At 46.5% G+C, this 25,862-nt stretch overlaps 1 protein-coding gene and 1 pseudogene across 2 annotated transcripts in view, besides 1 other annotated feature; one reads left to right on the top strand and one right to left on the bottom strand.

Annotated features, from left to right (window-relative positions):
- Nucleotides 1-25,862, top strand: part of COG7 (component of oligomeric golgi complex 7) — a 64,697-nt gene that overhangs the window by 34,797 nt on the left and 4,038 nt on the right. For both annotated transcript variants that reach the window (NM_153603.4, XM_017023870.2), the window contains exons 9-15: nucleotides 1,272-1,426; nucleotides 4,829-4,945; nucleotides 8,033-8,098; nucleotides 12,131-12,317; nucleotides 14,559-14,699; nucleotides 20,264-20,347; nucleotides 25,046-25,160. In NM_153603.4, coding sequence (NP_705831.1) covers nucleotides 1,272-1,426; nucleotides 4,829-4,945; nucleotides 8,033-8,098; nucleotides 12,131-12,317; nucleotides 14,559-14,699; nucleotides 20,264-20,347; nucleotides 25,046-25,160 — 865 coding nt within the window. The remainder of the gene's footprint in view (nucleotides 1-1,271; nucleotides 1,427-4,828; nucleotides 4,946-8,032; nucleotides 8,099-12,130; nucleotides 12,318-14,558; nucleotides 14,700-20,263; nucleotides 20,348-25,045; nucleotides 25,161-25,862) is intronic.
- On the bottom strand, nucleotides 1,713-6,013 carry RN7SKP23 (RN7SK pseudogene 23; annotated as a pseudogene).
- Nucleotides 18,351-19,274: an enhancer, noted in NCBI's record as "OCT4-NANOG-H3K27ac hESC enhancer chr16:23410440-23411363 (GRCh37/hg19 assembly coordinates)". NCBI's record gives its function as "activates a minimal SCP1, AML or CMV promoter by ChIP-STARR-seq in naive H9 embryonic stem cells {active_cell/tissue: H9 hESC(naive)}" and the evidence as "EXISTENCE:reporter gene assay evidence [ECO:0000049][PMID:30033119]".

Below are 25,862 nucleotides of genomic sequence, written 5' to 3'. Positions count from 1 at the left end.
GCTGGGACTCCAGGCATGCACCACCATGCCTGGCTCATTTTTGTGTATTTTTTGTAGAGACAGTTTTGCCATGTTGCCCAGGCTGGTCTCAAACTCCTGGGCTCAAGCAACCCACCCACCTTGGGCTTCCAAAGTACTGGAATTACAGGCATGTGCCACCCTGCCGGGCCCTAGTTTTCTATTTAAAATCCCCAATGAAGGTTAAACAAAATGAGAGGCTTAAATCTTTTGGGGGATAAGTTGATTATCTCCCTGGTTTACTAATTTCTTACTAAGGCGGTCTTTTGTTTAAGGAAGACATGCAAATGGGCACAGGATCTTAGCACTCATGGGCAATGCTGCAGGGGCAGGTTCACTATGCTATGTGGGCACCAGGGGTGGAACTGAGGCCATTTCCATTTCAAATATTATTTTGTTTTCAAGTCATAAGGTTGTCTAGCATGAGGTACATTGATATTTCAGAATTGATCTTATAGTAGTTCAAATCTACTGCCTCTTACCATTTTCTTGTTTTCTAGGGATATACCTAGAAAGTCTATTGCACTTCAGTGCCATACTTGCACCTGAAGGAAGGAAGCATTTTCCTTTTGCCTTATTTTTTATTTTTATTTTTTTGAGAGGGTCTTGCTCTGTCATACAGGTTGAAGTCCAATGGTGCCCAGGTTGGAGTGCAGTGGCACAATCACAGCTCACTTCAACCTTGATCTCCCAGGCTCAAGCGATCCTCCCACCTCAGCTTCCCAGTAGTTGGGACTACAGGTGCATGTCACCATGCCAGGCTAATTTTTTGTAGAGATGGGGTTTCGCCATGTTGACCAGGCTGGTCTCAAACTCCTGGGCTGGAGCAATCTGCCCACGTCTGCCATCCAAAGTACTGGGATTACAGGCTTGAGCCACTGCACCCAGCCCCCTTTTGCTACATTCTTTGGAGCGTCTGATAAGGAGAATTTGAATCGTAGCTCGAGAGCCAGAGGAAGAGATGCCATCTTAATAATCACAGAAAAAGAGGAAAGCAATGAAAAACATTAGGATCAAGTAGACAGACATTCGATCATGCTTTTCTGCCAGGAGTGAATTTCCATGATCCCACTGATGACTTAGACTGTTCTCCCTTGATTCAGGCTCTAGAGAAGCATTCAAACGTTGGGACTATATTTCTGACATCGTTATTAAGTGATTTTACTACAGATGAGAAGGCTTGGAGGTCTTCCCCTATCTCAGCATTGTCTGTTCTAAAGCCTAATGCAGCTTTGTCTGTATTTGCTGACCAGGAGCATGGGGAAGTGATTGACTGTGTGCAGGAGCTGAGCCACTCCGTGAACAAGCTGTTTGGTCTGGCGTCTGCAGCCGTTGACAGATGCGTCAGATTCACCAATGGCCTGGGGACCTGCGGCCTGTTGTCAGCCCTGAAATCCCTCTTTGCCAAGTAAGGCTGGGGAACTGGGGACCAGACGGGCCACATTGGAGCAGTGTCTGTCCCAGATAAAAATGCACGTGTTCTGTATTTGTTCTCTGAACCCTGGGAAACACTTGCACCTGAACCCAAGAGGATGTTGTTAAGGATATTCATAGTGGCATTGTTTGTAATGGTGGAACATTTGAAACAACGTAAATGTCTACCCATTAGGGAAGGTTACTTAAGATGTGACATATTCATATGAGGGAAACTTGTGCAGCAGTTAAAGTATGTTAAGAAAAAAAAAGAAACCTTAGACAAGTTAAATTTAACAAAGTTTATTTGAACAAGAAAAAGGACCTTTGGCCTGGTGCGGTGAATCACGCCTGTAATCCCAGTACTTTGGGAGGCCAAGACAGGTGGATTGCTTAAACTCAGGAGTTCGAGACCAGCTTGGCCAACATGGTGAAGCCCTGTCTCTGATTGTTCCAGAAATACTGAGCATGCCTCTGTGAACTGTGGAGGCTCCTTGGACCCAGAGCTCCCTGGCATTGCCATCGGGCATCCAGCACCTCCCAGGGCAGTTCCACGTAGGCATTTCTATAGGAACACATCATCTGGTGTGGCCGGATGAGCCTGAATGTGTTCCTGCAGAAAAAGAAACATCAGGCTGGGTGTGGTGGCTCACGCTTGTAATCCCAGCACTTTGGGTGGCTGAGGCAGGTGGATCACTTGAGGTCAGGAGTTCGAAACCACCCTGGTCAACGTGGCGAAGCTCATCTCTACTAAAAATGCAAAAATCAGGTAGGCATGATGGTGGATGCCTGTAATCCCAGCTGCTCAGGAGGCTGAGACATAAAAATTGCTGAATCCAAGAGGCAGAGCTTGCAGTGAGCCAAGACTGTGCCATGGCACTCCAGCCTGTGCAACAAGAACAAAACTCTGTCTCAAAAAATAAAAAATAAAAAAAAATCAAAATAATACATTTCCATATTAAGCATTCAAACTGTACAAAAGTATATCTGGAAAACCCAGGCCATCTTCTCTAAAAGGGAAGATTTTGAAGTTACCAAAATAGCTGATGCTTATAAAATCAGGGAAATCAGGTTGAAGCTAACTTGAGCAGGGTTCAAATGGCACATTGTTCAGTAGTGAGGAGGGTTTGGGGAAGGGTATTAAGGGAGGCAGGGGCAAGGAGAACAGGGTACGCAGGAAAGGCAGGTGCAGGTTGGCCTAACTCGAACTAGGATGAAGCATAGAGTATAGTGGCCAACCGGTGGTTCAAGAAGGAGGGGTATTAAGACTGTGATGGGCATGGGAGCTCTGGACACTTACTAGTGGGGACCTTAGAGATGGTAGTGTTCCTCTCTGAGTAAACTGATGATGACAATATCTCCTTTCCAAGGAGGTTGTGAATATTAACCAAAAGCATATCATTAAAGCCCCTAACACGGTGACTCTGACATGGTTGACAATTGGAAATGTGTATTGTGAGAAACAGCTGGAGGGTTTGGGAACAAAAATGATGTGATGAAAGCTACACTTTTCCTCTGAGATTTCATGACAAACCATTTAGAATTCTGGATTGACAGCTAATGAAATAGAGAAAGCATTTGCTTATAACCATACCTGAGAATAGTGGCTAAACAAAACTCCTTCTCCTGCAGTGTGTACCTGCTCTTTCTGCAGAGCACATGGATATTTGCCATAGTTGCAGAGGTGGTGACATGGTTGTTTAACTTCCCATGGCTAAAGCACAATCATGTTCCTTAACATTCCCCTGTCAGTTTGTGCTTGAGGCCAGCCCCTCTCCTTCCTGGGACTTATAACCCTAGAAAGCTGTCACCTCTCTTGGTGCAAGGGGAAGGTGTTGTCAGTGGTACTCTGGGTTTTGCAGCTTTCCACCTGAAAGCATCGAGCTCTCTGTAAAGGGAGCAGCAGGATCATTTGCAGTCAGTGGAGTGACCTGAAGCCGTTTCTTCCAGTTGGTTCATTGAGTGGCCTGTGTCTCCACTGCATGGACTGACCTTTTGGGGCTGTGCCCTGGGTCCTCACATTTCACTTTCCTCATTTAGAGCTTCGTTTTGGGAGGGGCAAGCGGCAAGGCCTCTTGTGATGCATGCAAATGTCACAGGTTTCGTAGCTTTCAGAGGACATGACTCCCTCCTTTATGTCCAGCTCTGTGCTAGTTCCTGGGGATATAAGTATGAGGCACAGGTTTCGTAGCTTTCAGAGGACATGACTCCCTCCTTTATGTCCAGCTCTGTGCTAGTTCCTGGGGATATAAGTATGAGGCACAGACTCTGTTCTCCCAGAGCTTAAAGTCTAGCAGCAGCAATAAGCATCATACAAGCTATTTCTTTATCTGGAGACAGGGTCTTGCTCTGCCACCCAGGCTGGAGTGCAGTGGCGTGCTCATGGCCCACTGCAGCCTTGACCTCCTAGGCTCAAGCCATCTTTCCACCCCAGCCTCCTGAGTAGCTGGGACTACAGGCATGCGCCACCACGCCAGGCTAATTTTTGTATTCTTTGTAGAGACAAAGTTTTGCCATGTCACCCAGTGTGGTCTTGAACTTCCATGCACAAGTGGTCCTCTTACCTCGGCCTCCCAAAGTGCTGTGATTACAGGCATGAGCTACCACACCCGCCTAATTTTTTTGTTTTTTTTAGAGATGGGATCTCACTCTGTTGCCCAGGCAGGTCTCGAACTCCTTGAGCTCAAGTGATCCTCCTTCCTCAGCCTCCCAAGGTGCTGGGATTACAGGTGTGAGCCACCATGCCCTGTCTAAACAAGCTGTTTAATTACAGTGTTTTAGATGCTGTGAGGGAAAAGTATGTGTGTACAGTGAGAGCAAACAACGCAGCCTGTGAGGGAGGATCTCCTGGCTTTGAATCCACTTTCATGCGTCTGTCCCATTAAAGTCAGACACTTGCCAGCCGTGAAACTTTAATCTTTTTGCCACGGGTATTTAATCTAAATTTAGAGGATGAGAATGATGCAGAGGTACCTTGGATGTCATGACCTTCCTTACGTTATCCCAGGTCACAGTCAGTTATTACCATGGGACCGTGATGTTTAAACAGTTCTTCAAACCTGCTTTCACAGAAATGTACTTATCTGGATGAGGGGGGATTTATCAGCATCATCTCTCACCTGGTTGCTCCCTGGAGTCAACTTCACGATTATTCCTTCCTTCTCCTCTTGGGCATCTCTTTTAGAAACTGCTCAACCAGGTGGTGAAGACAGTCTTGCCACATAGAGAAGAACTTTTTGTGTTCAGAGGTTTACAAGCAGTTTCACTCGTCGGTGGGAGCCTCTAAAGATGCTCTCAAGGCCATTAGCAATTTGTCCAGAGCTGTAGAATTCCAGGTCTCTTTAGAGTTGGGGAATCAGTGGTGACCTCCCTACCATTTTCTTCCCTTTCCCGGCAGGTATGTGTCTGATTTCACCAGCACTCTCCAGTCCATACGAAAGAAGTGCAAACTGGACCACATTCCTCCCAACTCCCTCTTCCAGGAAGATTGGACGGCTTTTCAGAACTCCATTAGGTAAACCGGGGGTTGTAATTCAAGCTTGTTCCTAATGTAGCCAGCATAAACATGCATGATATAGTATATAAAAATGACAAATGTGTTTGGAAGGGGTTCGTTTTTTTTCTTTCACTGCCTTTTTAAAAAGCAAATACTCCAGACTCTAAACACAAACCAATAAAACCCAACCCAAACCAACCAACAAAAAGACCCCTCCAGCTCTTAAGATATTTTTAAAAGTTCTTTACAAATGCCTCATCTCCTTTAATGACTTAAATTTTTTATATTTGATGTGAGATTTTTTACCCCCACCTTAGCGTATAGTTTTTATAGACCTAAAATAACTTAGGGCTTATGTATTAGAAAATGCATAGGTGATCGGATCCTGTTTCTGGATCTGAGAACCATGGTACATGGTACTAAATGGTTCCAGGCAACGCTATTTGGCCTGGAAAGGGCCATTTAAGAGTTCAGTGAAAGGGCTGGGCTTGGTGGCTCATGCTTTTCATCCCAGCACTTTGGGAGGCTGAGGCGGGCAGATCACTTGAGGTCAGTAGTTCAAGACCAACCTGGCCAACATGGTGAAACCCCGTCTCTACTAAAAATACAAAAATTAGCTGGGTGTGGTGGTGTATGCCTGTAATCCCAGCTACCCAGGAGGCTGAGGCAGGGGAATTGCTTGAACCTGGGAGGTGGAGGTTGAAGTGAGCCGAGATCCTGCTGCTGCACTCCAGCCTGGGTGACAGGGCAAAACCCTGTCTCAAAACAAAAAAGGTTCAGTGAAAGGAATTGAGGTGACCTTCTCAAGTCGTTGTTGAGGGCCAGATTCTGGAATAGCCTGTGTGGCCTGTGGGCCACTAGGTAGACACCCTATTTTGCCCCAGTCCCTGAGGCTTGATGGAGGTTCGATCAGCAGTTGCCTGAGAAGATTTGGTCCTTGACATGTCCAGCTGGAGAGCATGGACTGTTGGCCTATGGCCAGATTTGACCTATGGACATGTTTGATCATTGCAGTTTTTAACAAGTGGATTTGTTGCCAATATTTAAAAACTAGATTTAACATGATCCGGATTTCTAATGTCACCTAAAAAATGAGATGCTCAGGCAACACTGGGCCTGCATTGTCATAGCCACTGGGGCTGGCAGCAGGGGTCCCTGAGAAACTGGGCACGGGTTCCCTGTTGTGCAGTGCTTCTCTCCTCTCCCAAGTGGGCTAATAGTGATACGATTAGGCTCTCAGACCACTTGGCAGAGAAGAGAAGCACCATACAACAGATGAAAAGCAGGCTGGGCACAGTGGCTCACACCTGTAATCCCAGCACTTTGGGAGGTCGAGGTAGGTGGATCATCTGAGGTCAGGAGTTCAAGACCAGCCTGGCCAACATGGTGAAACCCTGTCTCTACTAAAAATACAACAATTAGCTGGGCATGGTGGCACGTGCCTGTAATCCCAGCTACTTGGGAGGCTGAGGCAGGAGAATTGCTTGAACCTGGGAGGTGGAGGTTGCAGTGAGCCAAGACTGCACCATTGCACTCCAGCCTGGGTGACAGAGCAAGACCTCATCTCAAAAAAAAAAAAAAAAGCAATCTGGAAGTTTCTTTTTCTTAAAACCATTCTTCCTGGATATATTTTCCCAAGAGAGAAATGGCCGTTCACTTGGCGCACTTCACCCACTTTCATGTCTTACCTGACCCTTGCCCGTGACACATGTGGTTCTTAATGCGGTGGCCCATGCCAGAGCAGACCCAGACCCACCCAAGGCCGTTGGGTAGATCCAGGACCACTCAGGACCATTTTAGATTATTACCTCACCTCACAGGCTCTGTTCTGGATTGTTTTGATGAAATTTAATGTTCTATGGGTTGATAGGTGCAGCAAACCACGATGACACACGTTTACCTATTAACAAACCTGCACGTCCTACACATGTATCCCGGAACTTAAAATAAAATTTAAAAAAAATGTAATGTTCTAGATGCTAACTGTATCCCTTATCACCCGTGGTGGTTTGGTATTCTGGAAAATATTATGCACAAGTTTGTTCTGTTGCACGTAAGGGAAGTGGAATATTTTACCTTCTCATAAACTTTTCTTATGATGGAATGCCTAGATAGCCTGGTGATGATGCGCACTTTTAGAGAAGGTTAAAAGTTAACTAGACTTAAGATGTTTTTAATCCTTGGATTTGTCCTGACATTATGAGTTTGGTGTTGAAGGACCCAGCAGCTGGGAGTTTGAGGCTTGGCATAAAATTACTTGAAAATTAAAGGATCATTCAATACGGATATGATGGTCATTTGGGCTTATCTCTGAGAAACAAATGGATTAATCTTCATCTGCCTTTCATATGATCAGGGAAAGATACTTCTAGTACCAAAACATTTTCTGTGTCTGGAAACTAGCAGGCATCTAGCAAATATTAAGTGATACATTTTTTTTGTTTTTAATTTTAGATACAGGCAGGATGTGGTGGCTCACTCCTATAATCCCAGCATTTTGGGAGGCCAAGGCAGGCGGATCACTTAAGGTCGGGAGTTTGAGACCAGCCTGGCCAATATAGTGAAACCCCGTCTCTACTAAAAATAACAAAAATTAGCCAGGCGTGGTGGCGTGCGCCTGTAATCCCAGCTACTTGGGAGGCTGAGGCAGGAGAGTCACTTGAACCTGGGAGGCAGAGGTTGCAGTGAGCCAAGATGACGCCATTGCACTCCAGCCTGGGTGACAGAGCGAGACTTAGTTGCAAAAATAAATAAATAAATAAATAATAAATTTTAGATATAAAATATCTCTACCCTGTTTTTCTCAAGGACAAAGCTGAGTATTTTGGAAATGTAAAATTATTTGAGGGGGCCATGGATAGAATTGTGCTTTCGTAGCAGAGATGCCAGTGACAATGGAGGTTATTGGAAGGGACCAGCATTTTCTTTTTACATTAATGACTAATGAATGAAACATTTCAGGCCAGCAGATGTTTAACGGCTTTCCCAGAACCAGAACTACCCAAAGGAGCAAATAGTTAGGATTTTTATGAATAAGACAATGTTTGTCCTGTAAAGGCTGGCATTCCAGATACTTGAACTTGAAGTGCTTTTTGTTTTGTTTAGGATAATAGCCACCTGTGGAGAGCTTTTGCGGCATTGTGGGGACTTCGAGCAGCAGCTAGCCAACAGGTAGGAGAGAGGAGTCATTGTCCTCTACACCCTGGGGTTCCTGATCAGCACGAGCTTGGTCTAGTACACAGTACAGCAAGGACAGCATATGCCAGATGTGAAGGCCACAGGGCTGGAGGACTGTCTGTACCTAGATACAGCGTGTCATTATTGTCATCATTAAACGTTTATTGAGCACCTAAAAAGGGCAAGGCTTTGTCCTACTTGGCAGGGGTCACGTAATTTTGGTTTGATATGGTGGTTTCAGCCTAAATGAGGAAACAGTGCATCTTGTCTCCAAATTAGGAATGGGCTTGGTTCCGACTGCTTGTTTATAAATTAGTTGTTGGGACTAAAAATAAATTTCCATATAGAAACGGTGTGACAAGTGGTGGTGAAGTCCCTTGGGCCAGCCTTCAGGATCGGGGTGAACTTAGGCAGCCTGCCTTCTGGGTCCTGCAGTCAAATTCCGTGCTGCTGAAGGGCTGTGTATCAAAGGGGAATCTCTGGGGTCTGCCCTGGAAAAGCTTGTCCTACTCCCTTCCTCTCTTCTCATACCTGCCAGGGCTTTTATGTTGCCCTGAGGTGGCCTTCCTCAGACAGTTTTTCCCTTCAAGGGGCTCTGGCTTCCCACATTTCTTTCTTTATCCCTTTAAATGAAATCTCTTGATTCCCTTGGTATGGCTGATGCCTTTATTCCTTAGGAGTTAAGGGGAAGAAGTCTGTTTCATACAGTTGTTTGAGGGACCAGCAGCAATCCCTTAACCTCCTTCTTAGGTGATTCTTTATTGCCCTAAAGTAATCTCTGGGTGATGAAATTTTTAGTGGTGGTACAAAGTGAAATGAAAGCACCACTGTTCCAAAAGTAAGTAATGGGTGCTAGGAAAATACAGAGGAGCCACAGCAATCTCCCTATATCTGGCCCAAGCTGCCCAGGATGAGAGAAATCTCTCAGATGAGATTTCAACTCGGCCTTGCTTTACTCAGCCCGTAAATCACAAAATGATCCCTTTCTGCAGAGAAGTGATCATAAGAGCTGGGTGGCCAATGTCAATCTTGTCACTGGAGCGGCCCAGCGCGTTCTGACCTGTTGCCTCTGCCACCCGCCTGTTGGTGGGGAGTGGTCCTTGGTAGGAGTCTAGGTGCTGCTGGTGAGATTGATGGGGAGATAAGATAAGCTTTACAGGTGCCTGCCACATACACACACACACACACACACATGCACGCACACACACACACACACACACACACGCATGCACACTGTGCAGCCTTCCAGCCAGGAACACAGATGGTGACTGTCCCTTTCCAGGCTTAGTGCTTCCAGGATGACATCATCTCTTTCAGGAGCTCCCTTGGATACACCCAGGCTGTTCTTGACTTGAAGCTCAGCCAGGCTTTCAGCCTCTCTGGGCTGCAAAATGCAGCCCAGAGAGGCCCATCTTTTATCTATTGTGTCCCCATTCGTGCTCCTAACCAGTCTCTCCTTACCCTTCAGAATGTAATACTTGATTTCATTAAGAGATTAAGGAAAATCTGTGTCCTAGGAATTACCATTTACTTCATTTATATTATTTACACACACTCTACTGTATGCCTGTGGCACTTTGGTTTTATTCACTCCCGAAAGTCACGCAATTTCTGTGCTGGGCATTCAGGAGTGAGTTAGGAACAGCAGCAGCTGCTCCCACTCTATCCTGCTGTGAGCCTTTCCCCATAATGAGAACCATCACAAAAAATCTTGGACTAAAGACAGTTGGTGGTCTCAGAAATGACGGGAAACAAAGAATCGTGAGAAGAAACTGCCAACAAAGAGCACAGACCTTCCTTAGCAACTCGCCCCTACCTCCTGCCCCACCTCCCCCCGCCACTCGCCTCTCCCTTCTGCCCTGCTCACCCCCTGCCTCCCGCCCCACTCACCCCTACCTCCCGCCCCACTCGTCCCCTACCTCCCGCCCCACTCGTCCCCTACCTCCCGCCCCACTCGCCCCTACCTCCCGCCCCACTCGCCCCCTACCTCCCGCCCCACTCGCCCCCTGCCTCCCGCCCCACTCGCCCCCTGCCTCCCGCCACACTCGCCCCCTGCCTCCCGCCACACTCGCCCCCTGCCTCCCGCCACACTCGCCCCCTGCCTCCCGCCACACTCGCCCCCTGCCTCCCGCCACACTCGCCCCCTGCCTCCCGCCCCACTCGCCCCTATCTCTCGCCCCACTCACCTCTGTCTCCCACTTTACTCACCCCTACCTCCCTTCCCACTGTGCCACAGCTTTCCTGGGCTCTGAGCTAGGTCTTGGGGATATCAGTTAATTAAACTCAATCCTCGCCCTCAAAGAGCTTAGAAATTAATGGGAGCATCCAGCATGTGCCAGTATGCTCATTGCTGTGCCAAGAGAACGCAGTGTGCACAGAGGAGGGAGGATTACAATTCCATTGGTTCCCTCAACTGTGACAAGTTATTGCCCACTTCTCAGCCATGGGAACTTGTAAATTTATGCTAGATTTCCAGAACCTGACTGTCTCATTGAACTGTCCCCCGAAGACCTGGTCACTAAAGCCAGGGTCACCCATCCTTCAACAGTTGTGGAGCCCCTGCCACGTACCAGGCACTGTGCTAGTGCTAGTAATTCACAAATGAAGAACAGTCCGTGTTTTGTCCTCACCGTCCAGTTGGAGGGAAATGAGACAGCATGTGTTAAATGCAGAACAGAAGCAAGAGCCCTTTGGGAGCTCTGCCATTGGCTGATGGCGCAGAGGGCTGAAACCTCCTGGGGTCCTTAAGGCCTCTCCTCTACCAAGCCTTTCTAATGCCCCTGTGAAGCACTATCTTTGGGAAAAAGCCAAAATCAGATTTGCCTTCTGGGAAGATCATTCTGCTAACCCTTAGGAGGACAGATTAAGTAGAACTTCGAGGACTAGAGGAAGGGGAAGCCAGTTAGTTGGAAGCCTGCTGTGATCCAGACAAGAACTAGTGAAGACTGGAAGTAAGGCAATGGCAGAGACAGGCCACAGTTTGACAGATAAGAGACCCAACCAAAGTTACTGGTTGGCTCAAGCAACAGGAAGAACGAACTTGAACTTAATGGCAGAGGCAGGTAGCTGCTTATGTCAGCAGTGGCTTCTGAGGAAGATCGTATCACAGGGATTTATTTGCAAGTACAGGCATTTCTTGAACAACTCAAGGATCTGTTTTTGAAATAGTGAGTGCATCCTAAAAACTGCTATGTCCAAAGCAATGTTTTCATAAGAAATTACAGTAAAAGAGAAGGCAGGGAATTAGCCACATTTGGGATGTGTCATAATGTGTTACACATGTTCATGTAATTCTGTACATATTTAGATGGGTAGGATGGGTGGTAAAGTTGGGCTAAGGAAAACAGGGTGGAGGTCAAGATTCCACTTCCCCAGCAGTACAAGGGGTGGATTATCATATGAAACCTCCTCTAGGCGTTTGTCTTTCTCAAAGAGTTTGGAAAGTGCCAGCCTCAATAGATCTCTCTGTAGCACCTAAACCACAAAAATAAACCTCCCAGTGCCACCAAACACAAATACCATGCAAGCTCGGCATGTAGGACAGGTGGGCCCATGGGTAAAGAGGCGTGCAGCGAGCTGCTGTCACTGTTCTCTAGGAGCCAGCCAGCTGCTATCCTGCCCAGCGGTCTCTCTGATGGTGGTGCTGGTGGTCCATGCTGGCATTTGACTGTTCTACACCCTGATGCTCATATAGCAAGAAAAGTCTCCATAGAAGGTGCACAGTGTTCCAGACTAAACTGAGAGCTGCCCCTATGTAGGCTGTCGGTCATATTAGGGAGATAGCATGTTCTGGCACTGTGAATGTTCAGCAGGAATAAAAACACTGGGTTTTTTTTATTGTGCACCTGAGGTCCAGCTCACTCCTCAATGATGAAGGGCAGCCTTTCGTTGCCTTATAAACTGGACCTTAATTCAGTCTGTCTCATGAGGATTATCTTTGAATTTAGTAAGGAGCAATCTGACTGCTCCAAGAAGAAAGTTCCATGCAAATAGCTCAGGGCATAATGGTCATTCCTTTCATTACAGGATTTTGTCCACAGCTGGGAAGTATCTATCTGATTCCTGCAGCCCCCGGAGCCTGGCTGGTTTTCAGGAGAGCATCTTGACAGACAAGAAGAACTCTGCCAAGAACCCATGGCAAGAATATAATTACCTCCAGAAAGATAACCCTGCTGAATATGCCAGTTTAATGGAAATACTTTATACCCTTAAGGTATGAGACCAAATGAATGGCATTCTTGCAAATGAAAGGCTTCTTCTCATCACTCACCCTCTCCCTCTCTGGGTTACAGGCGGGCCCTGTGTGTGGCCCTGGGCTGTGACGTACCCTGCTACTACCTCTCTGTCTCATTTATGTTGGGATTTTAAGGAGCTAAGATATTAAACTTGAAACCCATTGAGATACAGATGTAGAGGTTAGAAGAGATGGATCTTTATTACTGATAAAAGCCAGGTTAGAGAATGTGGCTTTAGGCCAGGTGTGGTGGCTCACACCTGTAATCCCAGCACTTTGGGAGGCCGAGGTGGGTGGATCCCCTGAGGTCAGGAGTTTAAGACCAGTCTGGCCAACATGGTGAAACCCGGTCTCTACTAAAAATACAAAAATTAGCCAGGTGTGGTGGCACGCACCTGTAGTCCCAGCTACTTGGGAGGCAGAGGTGGGAGAATCACTTGAACCAGGGAGGCACCGGTTACAGTGAGCTAATATTGTGCCACTACACTCCAGCCTGGGTGACAGAGCGAGACTCCATCTCAAAAAAAAAAAAAAAAAGGAAAAAAGAGAATGTGGGTTTAGATCTGCGGCTAGGGGGACTTGCTGTAATTCACTCCAGAATGAAACTTGTCAGCCGGTCAGACAGAGCTGGACAGCCCCTGGCCCTGTTCAGGGTCAGCCTCCTGAGAGGGGACCAGATGTGTACTGCTTGCAGGCAGGCAGAACCTGTAATAGAGGATCCCAACCCAGGATACCAGGAGGAGCAAGAGAAGTCATTACTCTTTTCCAAGGGAGAAGCCAGGCTGCAGAGTCACCAGGAGTCTACCCAAGTACAAGTTCTTCCACATGGGACCATGAGGACTTGGGGATTGGTGTTCCCTCCTGGTTTTTTTCTTTAAACTCTTAGTTTGCCTGCCATAACGCTGCCCTTGACTTTGAGCCCCTTGGGGTCCAGGGACAGGAGAACTTCCTAACAAATGGAATGAGTCACACAATTCCTTGGGAATGGCTTCCAGGGTCATAAGAAGACCGTGGGCATCCTTTGCAGAACTGTCCTCCTCCCTCACTGGTCTGGCTTTAACTTCACTCTTGGTGATAGACAGAGGAGACATTGCTGTTCCTGGAGCACCAGATGCAGTAGAAAATTTTTTCTTTTGAGATGGAGTCTCACTCTGTCGCCTAGGCTGGAGTGCAGTGGCACAATCTCGGATCACTGCAACCTCTGCCTCCCCGCTTCAAGCGTTTCTTCTGCCTCAGCCTCCTGAATAGCTGGGATTATAGGCATGCGCCACCACACCTGGCTAATTTTTGTATTTTTAGTAAAGAAAGGGTTTCACCATATTGGCCAGGCTGGCCTCGAACTCCTGACCTCAGGTGATCTGCCTGTCTCAGCCTCCCAAAGTGCTGGGATTACAGGCGTGAGCCACTGCACCTGGCCAGATGCAGTAGAAAATTATCCACAGCCTAGAGCTCTGGAATGAACTGCACAGGGGGCCTGGACATGTCTGAGGCTTCAGTGCTATTCTCCCAGGGCCTCCCCATCTCTTTGCACCTTGACCCACCAACTGGTTGCATTGAGCTTGACAAACACTTCGTAAAGCAATTCTGGAAACTCATTCATCCATGCTTCTGTGATTAGGTTAAAGCAACTCTGTTTATCTTTATTGCTAATCTGATTTATGTCTGTTGTAATCAGTTCATTTATAATAACAAAACTAAGGTTACACTTTCCATCTCTATTTTCTCAGGCTATTTGGAATTCCTTGGGACTCATGGAGGTTGTACATACTTTGGCTTTCAGCCAAGTATATTTGACCTGACCTCCCCGGGAATTAGGGCTCTGTCCATCACTCTGATTTATATGTGAAGCTTCTGATCTTGTTTCCCCCCTCTTTCCCACCTCCTCTATCCCTGAGGGATGGTCACAGGTGAATTTTTCCTAAACTGCTTGTCCATGAGCTCATGTTAGCCCAAGTGCATCAGAATCACCTGGGAAAGTGAATTTAAAATCTAGATTTCTGGGCTCCAACCCCAGTGAACTCTGATGCAGTAGTTCTGGGGTGGAGCTTGGGAATCTGTAATTCAGCATGTTCTCCAGAGGGGCCTGGGGCACAGCCAGGTTTGGGAACCACTATTGCATAGAACCCCCAGTTCTCCTGTGAGTTTTCAAAATGGTTAACTAGCTAATACTTGGGTTGGGTTTCAGGCCTAACAACTGCCTTTTGCATTTTCTTGTCTTAGGAAAAAGGGTCAAGCAACCACAACCTGCTGGCTGCACCTCGAGCAGCGCTGACTCGGCTTAACCAGCAGGCCCACCAGCTGGCTTTCGATTCCGTGTTCCTGCGCATCAAACAACAGCTGTTGCTTATTTCGAAGATGGACGTGAGTTTCTCACTGACCACATCAATTTTTCCCGGGTCCTGCCTCCAACTCAAGCATACTGAGTGTGGGCTTAACCCTCCCTGTTCCAAGAGCTTTGGGAAGATCCCGCTTTAACTTTCCCAAGCCGGAAAGAGCCACTTTCCAATTTCACCTCATTGCTTAGCATGAATTTCTTATCTTTATTGTAGTTACTCTGATACTTTATTCACAGGCGGTTCTCAGGATTATTAAAATTGCTTGATTAACTTTCCCTATTTGGAGCAGCAGAGAAGTAATAGAGATTATGTGCAGCTTCGTAGGTTAGGCCAGGTCAGAAGAGCTAATTGTCTTTTGAGATTGAATTATTTTCACACCACACGAATCATTTCTGGAGAATTGGTTCTGGAACTTTACTCAGGGGAGTACCTTATCAGAATTGAACTTGTGTTTTTGAGGGGGCTTTGGAGGGTTCTGTTCCTTTCTTTCCTTGATACCTTTTCTGTTTGGCTGTTTCTAGAATCGACTCACTTTCCTTTCCTCACACCCTCTTCTCTTTTCTGGTTGTCCGAATTATTTTTCAAGGCATTGCCTGTTCTATTTTCTCTACTTGCTGTCTTTCCCCTGCTCCAGATCTTGTTACTTTCCTTTTGGATTACTGGGCGGGACAGCCCCCTGGTTAATGTATCTTACTGACCCTTCAGGGCCATTTGGATTCCAGTTATGGGCCTTTAATAACCAAGAGATCTTTTTACAAAATGACAAGAACTCATCTGGCAAAATCAAACGTGCTCTCCTTTCTGCCACCCTCTAGAAAGCCTGCAAGGCTGGGAGTCCAGGGCTCCTGCATGGTCTCAGTCAGGCCTCACCCCCTCACTGGGAGTCAGGATTCCCATCCGTAAAATTGCTCAGTTAAACGACATGATCGTGAGGTTCCTTCTACCCTTGAAGTTTGTGATTTTCACTCTTTATGATTTTTCTGTGCAAAATGCCATGAGATCTATTTCAATCAGATTTTGTATTTGTAGCGCAGAAGGGGACGTAAAGTGGAGGAGAGCTGTAGCAGAAATGAGGCGGGTGCCATCACATGGCTGAGTTATTCCTTCCTCCGTGAGCCTCCGTTTCCTCATCTGTGTGATGGGGATATAGTAATTCTTATATAGATTGATGAGGATTAAGTGAGATTTTGTATATTGATAGAATTTAGCATAGCACTGGCCACAGAGTAGATGTGTAATAAGTGGTAGTTTTCTTCTTTTCTGTGATTCTCATTTTTAAGAAGAATGACTTACTTGATTTTTTTAAAATAAAAATTGTATAGGTATTTATTTTTAGAAACTCAAGCAATACAAGAAAATACAAAAAAAAAAAATCTAATAAATACCTCCAAGATCCCACCATTGAGAAATAATCAGCGTCAGCAGTTTGATGTCCAGCAACCCAGACATCTCTTTCTGCACGCCTATACATGTTAAAGGCTGATTGGGCATCAGTGGATAGATCTATAGGAAGAAATGGAATTATACTATAATGCTGTTTTTAAGAAAAACAAGATATGCACAATATAATTTTATTTGAATTTAACCAGAAAAAAGAGACACTAAATGAATCTAAAGGAATTATTGAACTTGAGACATTTTTCTTTTCTTTTCTCTTTTTTTGAGACTGAGTCTCACTCTGTCACCCAGGCTGGAATGCAGTGGCACAATCTTGGCTCACTACAACCTCTGCTGCCTGGGTTCAAGTGATCCTCCTGCCTCAGCTTCTCGAGTAGCTGGGACTATAGGCGCCTGCCACCACTCCAGGCTAATTTTTGTATTTTTTGGTAGAGACGGGGTTTCGTCAGGTTGCCCAGGCTGGTCTTGAACTCCAGACCTCCAGTGATTCACCCACCTCGGCCTCCCAAAGTGCTGGGATTACAGGCATGAGCCACCAAGCCTGGTCGAGATTTTTTTTTTTTCTCCACGAAAGATACTCATTCCCCAGAAGCTCTCTCCAAGGTTATGAAAAAAAGATTATGAGTATGAAGAGATTGGAGTTGCCATTGCTTTTTGTTAATCCTGTTTCCATTGCAGACAGATACTGATACATATGATCCATTGAAAAACGAAAGGATTAGCTTTCTTTGTCTCTCTCCTGTCCCCTCCCTCACCTGCAGATTGGGTTGTTTGTATTATTTTTATTTTGTCAAAGCTGACGGTACTGACCTTCTGTTCTGAAACCTCAGTGCTTCCCAGCTTAGTTCTACATTTAAACAGGGGTGGTGCTTCCCCCGTCCTTTTCCCTCTACTTCTGCATTCCAGAGTTCATTATTGATGGTGGAGTTCCTGGGTGCTTGGCCCTACCTTCTCATTCCGGCTTCACCACAGCACCGTGGCCCCTTGGGAATGGGCGCAGGTGGCTTTGGAGATTAGGAGGAGCACTCCGAGGGTGCCAGCACACAATACCAAGGCAAACACTCTGGCCTTAAGGATTTGAAAATTAAACCCTGGTCATCAAATGTTTGTTTTCAGCATTTGCTGGTAAATTCTATTGCCCTTTTATATTCCGAGACTACAAACCAACGCTATATTTGATTTCAAAATGGATTATTGAAGTTTACCTATTTTACCTGGTGACAGATGGATAGAAAAGCCCATTTGAAGGACACTTTAAATAAATTTTGAACAATTAAAAAATGACCTGCAGCATTTCCCTATTGCCCTCAAGTGACATTCTCTGCTGTTTTCCCCCCCCCCTTTTTTTTTTGAGACAAAGTCTCACTCTGTTGCCCAGGCTGGAGTGCAGTGGTGTGATCTCCACTCACTGCAACCTCCGCCTCCTGGGTTCAAACACTTCTCATGCCTCAGCCTCCCAAGTATCTGGGACTACAGGCAAGCGTCACCACACCCGGCTAATTTTTGTATTTTTAGTAGAAATGGGGTTTCACCATGTAGGCCAGGCTGGTCTCAAACTCCTGGGCTCAAGTGATCCGCCCGCCTCAGCCTCTCAAAGTGCTGGGATTAGAGGCATGAGCCACCGCAGCCAGCCATCTGCTGCTTTTTAAGCACCCTCCTATTTCAAGCCACTCTGTCTTGCGCTTCTTCCAAACTTCTTTCCCACTCCAGCTGTTCTTTCCCTCTCTCCTCTGCCTGTTCATGTTTTGAGGCTGCTCCTCCTGCCTCCCCTTTGAGGCCTTTCCTGGGGCCTCCAGGCTGCAGTCCCTGGGATGGATGGCAGCAGTGCTTGTCTTCGCCCTGCACATTGTTACCTGCTCTTGGTCTCCTGGAAGCCGTTGCTTCTCCCCACACTCTGCTTCCCAGCCTGTCACCATCTGGGCTCCCTTGCTGCACCCCTCTTTGCCGACAAACCACCAAGGATTGCTGTCCCTTCCTTTTCTCTGTGTCCCACACCTGTTTCCACAGGGGATTCTCATCATCTCTGAGCTGTTTTTGAGCTTTTCATCTGCCCCCCACCCCAATTTTCTGCAGAGCTGCTGTATTCACCTTCACAAAGCATTGTTTTGGTTTTATCTCTCCTCATTCAAAACCCTCCCCAGGGCTAGTCTGATTGTCTGTTTTTAGCAACTTCTTATGGACCTTTTCACGCATACACAGAAGTAGGGAGAAGAGTATAAGGAACTCCATATACTCATCACCTGCTCCAACCATGATCCACTCCTAGCCATCCTGTTTCATACATACCCCCTCATCTGAAATAGAAGGACTCTAAAAATAATCACAGTACCATAGTCAACCCTAAAAAAGAAAAAGAAAAGGAATTCCTAATGTCATCAGTGTTCAAATTTCCAGTTGTTTTATAAATGGCATAATTTATTTTAACCCTTTGAGTCAGGATCTAGGATCCAGGATCCTGCACGTAGAGATTTATTGGGATGTCTTTTTTGTCATTTTTGAATGGTAAGTTTCCTCTCTCTTTCTTTTTCCCTTGCAATTTACTTGTTCAAGGTAAAGGCTTTACTTAGCCTGGTGTTTAAAGCTGTGCCTTCTCCCTCCAGCCTCTGTCTGCCTCTGTGTACCGCATACATCCTATGGCCAGCCGCTTCTCTAATCGCCCTGAGCTCTTCTTGCTCCTTGCCTCTGACACCGAGAGCTCTAGAAGTGGGAGGCAGCACTCATGTGTCTGCAGGGGGGAGAGGGGAGGGGCCAGAACAGGATAGGAGGTGTGGGGGTGTACAGGGTGGGAGTATGTCAGGGGGTCTTGCTTCCCCAAGTAGCTCCCTTCTAGAGAGCAAGGAGCAAATCTTACATTTCTTTGTCTCTTCTCTGCAAAGCTTAGCACAAGACACTCGACATCCTGGGTACTTGGTAAATGTGGATGGTTGGCGTGTTCCTTCTCGCTGGATTGGGAGTTAGCTGGAAAAAATGTAGGCTCTTTTGAGACAAAAGAGCATTCGCAGGCAAGAACAAAGAGTCTAGAAAACTGTAGGACAAGGGTTGGGGGCACCTGGGGTGGGGAAGAAAAGAGCTCATTTACATCAAAGAAAATAAGACCGAATCAAGTGGGCGCTAGAGAGCACGGGGAGGGCTGCCGAGGCTGAGCCTGGGCTGGGAGCCCAGGGTTGGACATGGTCATTCCTTTCCCGGAATGCTACTTAAAGGATCAGGCAACCGGATCCAACATCAGGTGGCTGCAGACAGCAGTTCCTACATGACCGCCGGAGTCACTCCCGGAGTTCAGCCAGAAAGGGCCTTGTTTTCCAGGGCTGGCTTTAGAGTGGCTCAGGTTGGAAGTAAGAAGCGAGATTTTTGTGTGAAGGTGTGCCACTCTGAAGTCTGTGAGCACATGTGCACAGGTCCTTTACCCAACTCTATATAAACTGCTGGGAAGGCTTCCACAACAACACGGAAGATGTTTCCACTCCAAATGGCAAGAAACACGTGTTAGTGCTGAGGTTCTCCTCGCACAGGGGGACTACAGAGAGGCCAGAGGGGCAGCTGTTGGGGTTTGGAAGTGCCGTCCCATCCCCATCCCTCTGAGTTCTGATGAGTTGAGAAACAGATCCAGAAGGTGGTGAGAAATAAAGCAGCAGCTTTAGTTGAGGTAAAGCAGTATTGCCGATGAGGCTTGGCTCTTCCTGCAGCCAGAGGGGCTTCCTAGGTCTCCCTCCCAGATAAGAGACTGACACGTGGCCTCTGTGGGGGACCTCAGGGTGCCCTGTTCTCCTTAGGGTGCTAAGGACCCACGAAGTAGTGAGGCTGTCTGCACCCAGCACCTCTCTACACAGTGGCCCCGCTACGCAGAGAAACTTGGACCAAAAATATCCAACTTTCTCCTGTTACAATCTCAGCGAGATAAATGAAAGGGATCAGTTCCCACCCCACAGTTCAGCCAATGTGGCAGTTCCTGTTTCATGGACCTGCAGGAATGCGGAGAGAGAAATCGTTGCCTTCTGTATGGCGGGCTTCCAGGTGAAGCTTTAAAGAAGAGAAGCCCCTGCCTGCTGAGTGGTGGAGGCTCCAACGGTCAGCTCCAACCAAAGACAGTGCCTCCAGGGAAGGCCATGTTCTTCTTGTGTATTTCTGGGTGGCGTCTTCACAGCTGCCTGGCTGCTAGGTACTGATTGTGTCCTCTCGTTCCACCCTTAGAGCTGGAATACGGCTGGCATCGGAGAAACCCTCACAGATGAACTGCCCGCCTTTAGTCTCACCCCTCTCGAGTACATCAGCAACGTAAGAGCTTCTGTGTGCTTCTCCAGGGTGGTCCAAGTCTTTCAGACCTTCCTTGTCTTTTGATTCTTGCCCTTATAGTCATTTCCCCATGGGTGCTATCTGACCCTTTTGGGTAGCCTGTGCTTTGGGGTAGTCTGCACCCAGATCCTGGACTTTAAGAAGATCAGCAGAGCCACATGGCGATTCCAGACCCCAGCACATTCTCACTCCTTCACCATCTCTCCCTATATGAGATGTGGCCAGTACCTGAGGGCGTCAGAGTTGAGAGTCTAATGGGAAATTCTGACTTGGGAAGACAGGAGGCAGATGGCCAATTCTTCTCTGTGACTTTCAGAAGAGTAGTGTGTGTTTGTGGTTGTGAATTCAAATTCAGCCAGCTTTTAGTGATCACCTACTATGTGCCAGGCTCTGTGTGGAGTGCTTTCATGTTTAACTTCATAGCAACAAACAAATCTCTTCAGAAGAATTGCAGTTATAGAGGCTTAATATTAAAAGAGAACAGAATAAACCATGCAGGGGAATGGGGGCACGTGGAGTCCTTGCTGCCCTCCCCATTCACCCCTGGGAATTGACAGTCACCCAGACACCTGCACATGGCCTTTCCTTCCGTTACTTCCTGCAGTCTAGCTCAGGTGCTCTTAAATGTCAGTGCGCACAAGAAACACTATAGAGGAGTAATATGTGCCAAACCACACTCACCTCACACAATGGGAGATTTCTGAGACTTTTCAAGGTGATTTCTGCCTTACGCTCTTGCCTTAGAATCCAACCCCTATGTGTAAGTTGTGACTCTGCCAAAATGACTAGAAAGGAATTTTAGAAGTATTATAAATGTTAGGCTGGGCATGGTGGCTCATGCTTATAGTCACAGCACTTTGGGAGGTAGAGGCGAGAGAATTGCTTGAGCCCAAAAATTTGAAACCAGTCTGGGCAACATAGGGGGACCCCGCCTCTACAAAAAAGTAAAAAATTATCCAGGCATGGTGGTGTGTCCTGTGGTCCCAGCTACTTGGGGTGCTGAGGTGGGAGAATCGCTTGAGCCCAGGAGGTCGACGCTGCAGTGAGCTGTGATTGCACCACTGCACTCCTGCCTGGGCCACACAGCAACCCCCTGCCTCAGGAAAAAAAAAGAAAAAAGTACATGTTGTATAATTGCAAGAAGTGCATGGCAGTCCCTCTGGCAGGCAGTGAGGTGGCTGGCTCTCTGCTCTCTGTTCATTTGGGGCAGTATCAAGTCTAAAACAACAGTCATTTCCCTTCTATTTCCCAGGGCACCTGATACCCTCTACTGATGAAACTGTTAAGATGTGGGTTGGTCTTTACAACCCATGGGAATAATCTGATTTTATTTTTATTTATTTATTTATTTTTGAGATGGAGCCTCTGTCACCCAGGCTGGAGTGCAGTGGCGCGATCTTGGCCCACTGCAACTTTGGCCTCCTAGATTCAAGTGATTCTCCTGCTACAGCCTTCCGAGTAGCTGGGATTACAGGCGCCCACCACCACACCTGGCTAATTTTTCTATTTTTAGTAGATACAGGGTTTCGTCATGTTGACCAGGCTGGTCTCAAACTCCTGACCTGAAGTGATCTGCCCACCTTGGCCTCCCAAAGTGCTGAGTTTACAGGCATGAGTCACTGTGCCCGGCTGAATGATCTGATTTTAGAGCAGAGATAGTATGCTTGCAGTCTAAATTGATTCAGAAAATGATGGTGCTGGAAGGGACCTGAGTGGCTACCAAGTTGATTCTAAAGTTGAAGAAACTGAGGTCTAGAGAGGGAATGAGGGCTAGGAGGAGTTTCCAGGCCCGGGCCCTTCCCTGCCTGCTGCTGTCCTCCTGAGCTGTACGGAGGCTGATGACCTGAACCCAGGAAAGGAACACCTAATTGAACACGTACTGTGTGCAGAGACAGTGCCAGGTTGTTTAGTGGCTGGGCCAGATCATGTCCATGAGACAGGTGTGGCAGCCCTCCTTCACAGTGGGAGTGGGGCTGGGAGGAAGCAGCGACTTACCCAGTGGCTGCTCTGTTAGGACGCCAGCTGCTTTACGTGCATAGCACACGTATTAATTCTACCCTCACCACAACCTTTTGAAGTAATATGAGGTCATCCTCATTTCAGCGATGATGATCCGAGGTCCTGACAGATTAAGTTGCCCAGGTTCTCACAGTGATAGAGCCAAAACTCCAACCCAAGTCTGTCTGACCTCAAAACTTTTCATTTTTCCCAAGTCAGTGAGTTAACCCAACCAGGATATCAAGAAATATTGATTGCATATGTGAGAATAGTAGACAAATACCCACAGGTGGGATGCTAAGCAGCCCTTTCCATATTGATTTCCAAGGAGTGAATAGAGACAAGATCCCTGAGAGAAACCTGCACTGTGAGATCTAGGAACCCCAGCAATCCCTACAGTCTAAGGCCAATTGATTGAAGTTAGAGATGTCAGATTACTGAAATTTTTCACCTAAATGATACTTTGCCTTGTTGGTGAAAGCCCTCACCCACACAGAATCATGTGAGCATTGTAAAGAGATGAAATAGGAGAAAATGCTTTGAAATTTAAAAACAATATATATGCAAGGTAAAACTGAGTCTGTGGACTTAGCCAAAGCTTATGGCTACAGATGAAAGGTATACCAAATATAGGAGTATGTCTGGGGTCTTTGTACGTAGTAGGTGTTCAGGAAGGGCTTGTTGAGAGGAATTATTGTAGTACAGAGAAATTCCAACACCAGAAATCAGCATCCTTCTCTTCCCCCAGCCTTGGGGAAAAATGATGAATTTGTTAACACTTCAAGCTGAAATTTACAGTAGCTGTTGTTATTAGTGAGGTAAGTGGCCACTTGCTTACTTTGGGTGAAAGATTATACTAAGTACATGAAAGAAAAAAATGATTTATTTTACCATCTGTGTACCTCTTATAAAGGGACGCCAGTCCAGGCACAGTGGGTCACGCTTGTAATCCCAGCACTTTGGGAGGCCGAGGTGGGCGGATCACCTGAGGTCAGGAGTTCAAGACCAGCCTGGCCAACATGGTAAAACCCCGTCTCTACTAAAAATACAAAAAAAATTAGCCAGGTGTGGTGGTGGGCACTTGTAATCCCAGCTACTCGGGAGGCTGAGGCAGGAGAATTGCTTGAACCCAGGAGGCGGAGGTTGCAGTGAGCCGAGATTGCACCATTGCACTCCAGCCTGGGCAACAAGAGCAAAACTCTGTCTCAAAAAAAAAAAAGAAAAAAGAAAAAAGGAACACCAAACTAATAATGGATGTTTACACTTACACAGCCAAACCATATTGAATGTTTGGAAAGAAGGGCATGATCATCCTGTAGTTCTCTGGTCTGGGTAGATTTTCGAGTCTGTGTTAACTTCTGGACACTACACCCTGAAAGGAGCCCGCTGTTACGTAGACATGTGTGAGGCCAGATTGAGAAGCTCTTGCTTTGATAGTCTCCTGACTTTTAGTTTACAGAGTTAATTAACAGTGACAGGAATGTCATGGAATGAATATGTAGCAGGAAGAAAAAAAAAACAACAACAGGCAGAAAGACCTTTTAAAAACATATATTATCATTTTGAAACCTGAAAAGTCAACCCCCTTATTTTGAAACAAAACACATACTTAACCTTAAAACACAAAACAATGAATTACAATAGAAATAGGAAACAGTGGTCTAAAATACACTCTTGGCATCACGTGGATATCTGACAAACACATGACCAAGACTGTGCTAATTGTGGGCATGTCCTAAATGTCTTTTAGGACAATTGCAAATGACCTTTTGCAATTCCCCACCAGCCAAGGTTTTGTCTATCTTTAGTTTCAAGAGTTTATATTATGAAAACAATATAGTTTTTTCTCCAAAGTAATTTATAGTTATAAATGGCTTTTTTTCAAACAGAATTCCTTTCTTCTTCTGGTTAAATTATCTAGGAGGGAGAGAATCAGATCCAAATCCAGAAGACAGGTTTTTTTTTTTTTTTTCTGAGACAGAGTCTCTTTTTTTTTGAGACAGAGTCTGCCCAGGCTGCAGTGCAATGGCATGATCTTGGCTCACTGCAACCTCCGCCCCCGCCGAGTTCAAGTGATTTTCCTGCCTCAGCCTCCCGAGTAGCTGGGATTACAGGTGCCTGCCACCATCCCCGGCTAATTTTTGTACTTTTAGTAGGATAGGGCTTCACCATGTTGGCCAGGCTGGTCTTGAACTCCTGACCTCAGGAGATCCATCCGCCTCGGCCTCCCAAAGTGCTGGGATTACAGGTGTGAGCCACTGTGCCTGGCCTCAGAAGACAGGATTTGAATTCTTGCTTGGCCCCACACATTCTGACACTAGTATCTTACTGGTTTTTCACCTATGAACAGTAATAATACTTATATTTACACAATGCTTCAAATTTTACAAAGCATTTTGATATCCATTACTTCATTGGAGATAGAGATTGTGTTGAATGCATTTCAAAAATATTGAGGTCATTATAAGAAGGATGAATCTATAATCTATATGCAAGCTACCAGTGATTCTTTTTTAGGGTACTGCCATAACAAGCATCGCCACATACTAGAAAGATCAGACTTGGGATCACCCGAGGTCTAGCAATTTTGTCTCTCTGCCGTTTGCCTTCACACAAATGTACCCATAAAGTAATAACCCGTATGTGTCAATGTCAGGCTAACAGCGCTTTCTTTTGTTTCAGATCGGGCAGTACATCATGTCCCTCCCCCTGAATCTTGAGCCATTTGTGACTCAGGAGGACTCTGCCTTAGAGTTGGCATTGCACGCTGGAAAGCTGCCATTTCCTCCTGAGCAGGGTAAGCGGGGACCGTTTCTGGCGATGTTACAAGTCAAGCTGTCAGTTTCCAGGGTAGAAACTCCAGATGACACCTTATCCTTGGGCTCATTTGTCACCAAGTCCTGTTTTTTTTTAACCTTCTAACATGTACTTTTTGTACACATGCTGTATCTAAAACAATATCACAACTTGAAAAATCTATAACCACATCCCACTGCGGAACGCACTGGTATTTCCACTTTCGCTTGTGCCTTCTGGCTCTGCTCTGTAAGCAGATGGTATTTTGTATGTAACTTTGTATTCTGTATTATTGTTATTATTGAGACAGAGTCTTGCTGTGTCACCTAGGCTGGAGTGCAGTGGCGCGATCTTGACTCACCACAACCTCCGCCTCCTGGGTTCAAGCAATTCTCCTGCCTCAGCCTCCTGAGTAGCTGGGACTACAGGCGCGCACCACCACGCCTGGCTAATTTTTGTATTTTTAGCAGAGACGGGGGTTTCACCATGTTGGCCAGGCTGGTCTCGAACTTCTGACCTCAAATGATCCGCCTGCCTCATCCTCCTAAAGTGCTGGGATTACAGGCATGAGCCACTGCACCTGGCCCTAAGATGTAACTGTTTTCGGTTTCCTGTGTTTGCCATTGAGATCAGAAGCTTCCTGGTACTTTGGTGCATTCAGCAGCTACTGCAGGCCTGTGTTTTCCTTGGTGACCTCCTTTTC

The sequence above is a fragment of the Homo sapiens genome, chromosome 16 (assembly GCF_000001405.40).
Source record: "Homo sapiens chromosome 16, GRCh38.p14 Primary Assembly".
NCBI classification, from domain to species: domain Eukaryota; kingdom Metazoa; phylum Chordata; class Mammalia; order Primates; family Hominidae; genus Homo; species Homo sapiens.
Note: the sequence above shows the minus strand (reverse complement) of the source record. Positions and strands in the feature narration are given on the sequence as shown.